This window comes from Homo sapiens, chromosome 8 (assembly GCF_000001405.40).
Source record: "Homo sapiens chromosome 8, GRCh38.p14 Primary Assembly".
Taxonomy (NCBI): Eukaryota; Metazoa; Chordata; class Mammalia; order Primates; family Hominidae; genus Homo; species Homo sapiens.
The window spans coordinates 142,034,823-142,043,213 of NC_000008.11; the positions used below are offsets into that span (position 1 = coordinate 142,034,823).

The 8,391-nt window shown below is 52.8% G+C and overlaps 1 annotated feature.

The window, feature by feature from the left end:
- Positions 7,196 to 8,155: an enhancer, noted in NCBI's record as "H3K27ac-H3K4me1 hESC enhancer chr8:143123379-143124338 (GRCh37/hg19 assembly coordinates)". NCBI's record gives its function as "activates a minimal SCP1, AML or CMV promoter by ChIP-STARR-seq in primed H9 embryonic stem cells {active_cell/tissue: H9 hESC(primed)}" and the evidence as "EXISTENCE:reporter gene assay evidence [ECO:0000049][PMID:30033119]".

The following is an 8,391-nucleotide window of genomic DNA, read 5'->3' on the forward strand; positions in this document are numbered from 1 at the left end:
CCAGAGCCTGGCAGCAGTCAGAGCCATGAGAGCAGCTCCCATTCAGGATGATGCAGTGGGGTAGAGGCCTCAGGAGGACAGGGCCCGACCCCCAGCACAGTGCAGTCCAGTGGGGATTACTGCTGGCAACAGGGTGGGGTTGGAGGATGGAAAATGACCAGGAGGAAGCAGCCAGAGTGAGGGGATTCTGGTGGAACCCCCTAACAGAATGCCTGCTGAAGGCAGGCCAGCGGACCAGGCCTCCCTTGGAGGGTGGAGGATGGAGAACCTGGTTAGATGTAGAGGGAGGGTCGGGGGGTTCTCTCTAAAATGACTTTGCAGTGTTCTTGACAAAACTGGGCTCCTGAGGATGTGTCCAGGGACAGGGCTCCATCAGTCCTCAGGGAGCAGGTGCCTCTGCTGTCCAGTGTCTGGACCGGGACAGAGTCCTTGTCAACCAACAGCAAGTACCCCAGCCCCTGTGCTCCAACTCTGGAGGCCAGGTTTTGGTGAGGAGAAAATGTACACCTTAACTTTTACTGAATGCAACTGAAATGTGCTATTTCCTTTCATTATGAATATAAACAACAGGCCACCCGAAATCCTATGACTTTCCATCAGTAGACAGCACAGATGTCTCAAAATATAACAAAACTCAGGATGACTGTAGCCATCAATAGGTCTGCATGTGACAAAGAAGCACCAATGTTATTACATCAACAATCCGTTTTTTGAAGAATTTCATAGCTGTGCTTCTGAATAATTGGCTTCACCCACTATTCAATGAACAGTACCAAACATCTTATTCTGAGAACTAACCCACAGGCTTCCCCAGATGTCAAAGGTCAAAGGGTGCCCTGCCTTAAAGAAAGATGAATTTACAAGTAAAAACATTACCCCATAGCAACTACCTAAAACAAACAAACAAGCAATAGAATACACAACACACAGCTGGGCCCATTGCAATGGACAGATTGAAATTTTAAGTAGACATGCCAAATATTTATAAGATGATCAAGGAAAGGTATTATAAAATAAAGAACACATAACAGAAGCTCTAAGAACAACCATTAGATTTGAAAGGTATTATAATCGAAACAAACAACACGAGGAATGGGATGAAGGCTGGGGCTGATACAGTGGAGATGCTGCTCAGTGAGCTGAATGATCAGGTGGTAACTGCCCCAGAGGTGAGCAGGAAAGAATGAAGAGGTAGAAAAGGTAAAAGAAAAGCTGAGCGCTGTGGAAGGCATACAGAAGGCCCCTGGCTACAAGACAGAAGAAAGGATAGAGGCATTTGAGGGATACTAGAAACAGATTCTCTGGGATATAAAAGACGTCTGGCTGAAGAGCTCATCAAATGCCAAATGTAAGAGATGAACAATCCTTCCTGGACAGATGAAAGTAAAATTTAAGAAAAGGCCAAGATGGAGCTACTCCTAAAAACTTCCGAAGAGCAAAAGCAGATCATCCATGGAGGAATGAGATTCAGACCAGGGGCCTGACACACTAAAAACAAGGCAATGGCATTTTTAATTGTTAAAAGAACATTGGGGCTGTGCATGGTGGCTCATGCCTGTAATCCCAGCACTTTGGGAGGCTGAGGCAGATGGATCACCTGAGGTTACGAGTTCGAGACCAGCCTGGCCAACATGGTGAAATCCCGTCTCTACTAAAAATACAAAAATTAGCTGGGCATGGTGGTGCATGCCTGTAGTCCCAGCTACTTCGGGGACTGAGGCAGGAGAACTGCTTGAACCTGGGAGGCGGAGGTTCCAGTGAGCCGAGATCACATCACCACACTCCAGCCTGGGCAATAGAGCAACACTCTGTCTCAAAACAAACAAACAAACAAAAAAGGAATCATTGGATCTAGGACTTTGCATTCAGCAAAATTATCAATTAAATATGATGATATAAAGAAAATATTCACCGGCAGGCAAGAGTGATGATTTCCATGAAAAGACACAAAATGAAAATACTTTTTTTTGCAAGAACTCATCAACAGAGAGAAGAAAACATCTAGGAGGTGCTGTAAGCGGTAAGTACAGATGATCAAATATTTTGGTAAAATCGATCATTAGCTTTTGAAATAAAATAAACAACAACAACAAAAATCCATAGCTAGAGAAAAGAAGACCCAAAAAAAAGTCTACAATAAGCCAGAATGAAATTTCTAGACAATATCCACGTGACCAGTCAGGGTTAGGTGGGCTAGCAACAGTCCTGAGAGCAGAGAGTGGGCTCCGTGTCCAGGGGCAGAGACAGGAATGCTGAAAAGCTTAGGAAATTGACATGGTGAATATGAGTTTTAAGTTAACGGCACTCTCCACAGGGAAAAGTGTGATCTATCCAGGGAAAAGTAGGGAAAGAAAAAGGAAAACAAGAAAAGTTGACATGTGGAGAATATGAAATAAAAGAGCAGGAACAAGTCGTAAGATAGTAGTAATTATAATCGTGTAAATATATACACGATTTGATTTGTCAATCAAATGTATTAATTGAAAGTGTCTCTCAACAGAAAAAGAAGAAAGGAAGAGGAAGAAGAGGAGGAGGGGGAGGAGGAGGAAGGCAACCTGCTGTCTGCAAAAGGCCCAGGTGAAGCAGGAGGCCTCGGGGGGGGGGACACAGGAGACAGAGGAAGGGACCCTAACATGAGTCAAGAGAAACATGAGCAGCAGACATAATATTAAAAAAAAATCAAGCTTAGGGAAAACTATTAACACAAGGACAAAATACACCTCATTTGCCGGGGGTCCAGGGTGACTGGCCCCAATCTGGCCCACCAGCCTGGTTAGTGTGCCCAGAACCCCCTCCTGACATGAGGCCAGCACATGGCAGGTGCTCAGGATGGGCTCTGGGGGAGGTGCTGACCCTGCACAGTGTCTATAGTGGACTGGGAAGCTGTCGACTGAACCTCCTGAGGAGGACAGGCCCAGGTTACCCTGAGAGATGTTTGTTAGAGGTTCTCTTCTCCCTCCCAGCCCCTTCCCAAGACCTGGGGGCTCCCTATTGGTGGGAGGGGTGGGTGGCCCTGGCTTTGGAGCTGGCCCCTGGGCTTAGACCCCACCTCCCTCTGTCCTTACTGTAGCATCTGAGGCAGACACTTCACCACCTCTGGGGACTCAGTCTCCCCCCTGTGAAATGCTGGGGAGACCCCTCAGGAGGATGCCAGACATTATGTGGCTGGTAATGAATCACTCCAAGGAGCCCATAGGTCATGGTGTTAGAGGCCGCTGTGGCAGAGGCAGGATAGTTGTGAGTGGATGTGCCAGCAGGCAGCGTGTGAGGGAGCAGAGCATGCACCCAGCCTCTCCCTGCCACCCCTGAGCTGGCTCCAGTTTCTGCAGTCCTCTAAGAAAAATCTCAGACCATCTGCACCAGCCTGGGTGGGCCAGAGGGGCAGGCAGCCAGGCAGGTGCACATGGGCTTGGGAGGGGCGGGTGTGCACGTGGAGACTCCAAGCATGGGAGAGGACCAGCTCTGTGACCAGGCGCATGCCCGGTGTGTGCGCTCTAGCCAGGTCTCAACCCGTCTTCACTGTGCCCTGCTCACCCCAGGACCTCAGCTTCCTATGCCCAAGGGTGACGGGACTCAGTGGTCCCAAAGGCCCTTTGGCCTTAACAGTCTGGGCAGTGGGAGTCCAGAGCTGCGTGGCCTCCTGAACACCAAGGGCAGCCAGCATAGGCTGCGCCTTGTGCTCCCATCAGCTCGAGTGTTGCCAGCCCCTGGGGCTTCTGTCCTGACTCCTTCCTCCAGTCCATGCTTGCCCTGTTTCCATCCTCAAATGCCTTTCCCTCCTCTGTTCTCCCACCTGAGAAGTGGCACTCCAGGGTTGGCCATGGGCGCCCCCCACTCTGCCTGGGCTCTCCCAAGCCCCCCAAACCCACAGGCACAGGGACAGACAGCAGACCTGGGTGGGGGGTCTGTGTTTGGTGGGGGGAGATGTGTCTGAGCTGGGGCCATGAGAAGGGTGGAAATATGCTGTGTTCCCTGCAGCTCTCAGTGGCCCTAAGATGCCCAAACACCACTCCACTTCCAGATGGAGGAACTGAGTCTGAATCCACTCAGGTAAGTGGAGGAGTGGGACAAAGCCAGATCCCCTGAGTCCCGGGTACACAGTTCAGTCCTGGGCAATATCTCATGGGGAAGGTGGGGCATGGACAGGGAGGCCGACCTTCGGTGCTGGCCCAGTGCCCAGCGTAGAGCTGTCCCTTTGGGGGCAGGAAGTGTCTGCCTGCTGCCACATCTCTTGGGCGGTGCTCAGCAAGGGAGAGGCTAGAAAGAGGATGGGAGGCCAGGCTGGGCCCCTGCTCTGCCCATCAACACTGCAGGGACAAGGAGGCGGCCATGCACCCCCCGTGCTACCTTTTCACACCCTGCACATGTGCAGCCCGACAGGACCCCACCTTCCAGCCAGGAGGGAGGCCCAGAGCCCCAAAGTTGCTCTGGCCTTGCAGGCAGCTTCTCCTGTCCTCCAGTCCCCCTCACATGCCAGGGTGGCGCAGACACTTGGGCCAGGGACCGCCTGGCTGTGCAGGAGAGATGAGCTGTTCTCCTCCTCCTGCCTGCCACCAGGATGGCGCTGTGTTGTGTCACTTAAGGACTCACCTGCTTTGTAGAGACCAGTTAGGTGGCTGCTCCAGATAGGAGCCTCTGACAGGCAAGGCTCACCCAGCTGCACTTGACCAGCTGGATTCCTGAGCCAGTGTGAGGCTCTGCCCCTGGCCCGGGGCATTCCATCTGACCAGGCTCTGCCAGTCCGTTGTGGCAGCACCTTTCTATTAACCTGAAAGTCCCGCACCAGGCTGGCCACCCTTCCTGCCTCCACTCTCTTCCTGAGATGTGGGGACCCACCTGTCCTTCTGCAGTCTTGATGCTACTATCCCCCAACCCCAGCCATCCGGGGACCCAGGGCTTCCCTACTGGCCTCTTCTCAGCTCCCAAGGCCAGGCTGGTTGGGTGCTGGTCCTCAGGGCACGTTGCTGGACTCTATCGCGACGTCGCATGCTGATTCCTCTGGAATCGCATAAGGTTCCCACTGTCTCTGGGCCCATCTGCATTCCTACCTCAGTCCCCGATGCTGGGGTTTCTACTTTTGGCTTTTTTTTTTTTTTTTTTTTGGATGGAGTGCAGTGGCGCAATCTCAGCTCACTGCAACCTCCGCCTCCTGGGTTCAAGCGATTCTCCTGCCTCAGCCTCCCGAGTAGGTGGGACTACAGGCATGCGCCACCATGCCCAGCTAATTTTTGTATTTTTAGGAGAGATGGGGTTTCATCATGTTGGACAGGATGGTCTCAATCTCTTGACACGAGATCCGCCTGCCTCGGCCTCCCAAAGTTCTGGGATCACAGGCGTGAGCCACCGCGCCCCGACACTTTTGGTTTTTTTTCCAGAGGATCTCTAATGCCAGAATGACATCACCTGTGTCACCCACTCCTGACAACAGTCACCCTTTCCCTAGCTCTGGGCTTGTCATGGGCTTCTATCCTTATAGAGACAGGTCCCTCCAGCTTGCCATTTCTCGGCTTTACTAAGGTGTGAAACTGCCTTTACTATGGTGTGAAACTGTGCAATTGTGACATAATGTACAGTATTCAATACATTATATGAGATACACAGTACTTTATGATAAAATCGGCTTTGTATAAGATAACTCTACCTGACTATAGGCTAATGTGAGCGTTCTGGGCACATTTCAGGAGGCTAGGCTAAGCTATGACATTTGGCAGGTGAGGTCTATTAAATGTGTTTTTGGCTTATGATATTTTCAATGTATGAGGGGTTTATCAGGAGCCCTATGGTCAGTCGGGGAGCATCTGTGCCTGGCCTGTGGTACTGCCTCTTGTTCACTGTCCTGCCCATTCCAGGGATTCCCTGGCACTGCCCAAGGCAGGGGCCTCATGCTCATACCCGTGCTATGCAGCTAGTAGGTGCTCACAAGTCACGGCAGTTGAATGAATGCCTAGCGAGGGTTCTGGGAGCTCTCTTTATCGCCCCACATAAGCAGGTTATGATGGTGACAGAGAAGCCAGCCTCCTCCAGGGGCAGAGACAGAGCCTTACGCCTTGAGTTGCAGCTAACAGACCAGCAGGCTCTGCAAACCTGAGCAATGAGATTTGTTATTCCGTCCCTGAAAGTCTGTCGGCAGAGCCCCTGCAGGGTCTGTTGATTCAGGAGCTCAGAAGTGTCACCAAGGCGCTGGGATTGTTCGATTTATCATCTCTGTCCACACCCATTGGCTCCACCTGAAGGCCGCTTCCATCTTGTTGAAGGCGCCTACTAGAGGCACCTGTGTTCACATCTGAAGATTAATCATGGACTGAAGCCTTTCCTGTCACCTTGGTGGCCGGCCAGCACTGGTCCCTTGCCCACCCTGGGTTGAGCCTGAGCTCCCAACCGTCACTGGGTCGTGGGGAGGGTGAACTTGCCTTGAAGGCACAAAGCCATGGTCACATGGGCTGCGTGTCTGAGAGGTCCACACAGAATAAGATTAGAATTGTGTGGTTTAATTGGGGAAGTGGTTTTGGGGACAGGAAGCCAGTGGGCACGGGAGGCATCCCCACCCCACCCTCCCAGCTCTGTGGACTCTGCCTTCCCCTAGAGCAGCTGTCCCCAACCTTTTTGGCACCAGGGACCAGTTTCATGAAAGACAATGTTTCCAAGGACCTAGAAGGCAGGAGCAGTGATGGTTTTTGGATGATTCCAGTGTGTGACATTGACTGTGCACTGTTTCTATTATGATTACATTGTAATATGTCATGAAATAATTCGACAACTCACCATCATGTAGAGTCAGTGGAAGCCCTGAGCTTGTTTTCCTGCAACTAGACAGTCCCATCTGGAGGTGATGGGAGACAGTGACAGATCATCAGGCATTAGATTCTCGTAAGGGGCATGCAACCTACATCCCTCGCATGCGCAGTGCACAATAAGGCTTCTGCTCCCATGAGAATCTGATGCCACTGCTGATCTGACGGGGCAGAACTCAGGCAGTAACACAAGCCATGGGGAGCAGTTGTCAGTACAGATAAAGCTTTGCTCATCTGCCCACTACTTACCTCCTGCTGCACAGCCTGGTTGCTGACAGGGGTTGAGTGCCCTTGACCTACAGCACTGGCTGCATTCATAGGCTCCTACAGCTGCAGGTGCTCCTCCAGGGGCAGGACAGAAGGGCTCACTTCCTCTTCAAGAAACTACTGGGCTTTGGTGGTAATTTGCACCTATGCACAAACCCCCATGTGCCTGGGGGTGGAGGGGAGGTGTCTTTTCCTAGAAAGCCAACTTCCTCAACTTGTTGCATGAAACTACTGCCTTGGAGATTAGCTCTGCCTCACACATTTTTGGATGTCTGTTGTTTTTATCTTAGAAAAGCTGGGACCTCAGGAGTGCCCAAGGACAATGACCCATTCATTGACCATGAATCCACATCTTTGCCATGGCCACGGGGTGGGCCGGGGTCCACGGGCGGCGAGAGCCCTGGAGACCACAAGTGCAGCTCAGTCCGTAGCTGTCCACACTCATCCAGCTGGGATCTGTCCTGAGCAAGATGAGGCAGGGACAAGGAGTCAGGCTGCCCGGGAGCTGTGGCCCAGCTGAGGATGGGCCCCGGCCCACACTCCTGGCCAGGTTATCTGAACCACATCCACACATCCAGTCATGCTGGGAATGGCTGGGGCACGATGTCCGGGACCCAGGACTGGCCACAGACGGCTCGGGCAGGACCTTGTGTCTGCCTTCCTGGCTGCTGGTCTTGGGCAAGCTGCTCCACCTCTCAGAGCTGCTGTCTGTGTCCCTTGAATGAGGAGGAGTGGCCCTGACCTGAAGGGACTCATGGGCATGAGGTCCAGTGATGCTGCTGAGGGCCAGCGGTGGAGCTGCCACCCACGGGAGCTGCACTGAGAGCTGGGTCACTGTCGGCAAGTGCCAGGCTCCGGCACAGGAGTGCACCTTCTGGAAGGTGGTGCCAAACCACATCATGCCCAGAGAAAACGGGAGGAAGCGGGGCTGCCGCAGAGTATGGTTTCTCCTTGGAGGGGGCACCAAGCTATCATGAAGAGCCACGAGGGAGCCTGTGCCCAGGGCACAGTGGATGGGAGCAGCCAGAAGGCCTCCTCTACCCCCTCGCCTGGACCAGTCCTGTGGGGAACCTCACAGGGACCCTGCTGGACCCGGGGAGAGGGCTCCACTCAGCTGAGCAGGTGCTGAGCACCTCAGTAGGATGAGGCCCGGTGCAGGTGGTTTGGGTCAAGGTTGGATTTTGGGCCATGGTCAATCAGAAACCCTGGAAGGCGGAGCGGGAGTGGCAGCAGCCAAGGTGGGGCGGGGTGTTTAGAGTCACCCTCTCTGCGGAATAACAGGCTGGAGCCATCCCTGCAGGCTAGAGGTGGGTGGTGGGTGGAGATTTGACAG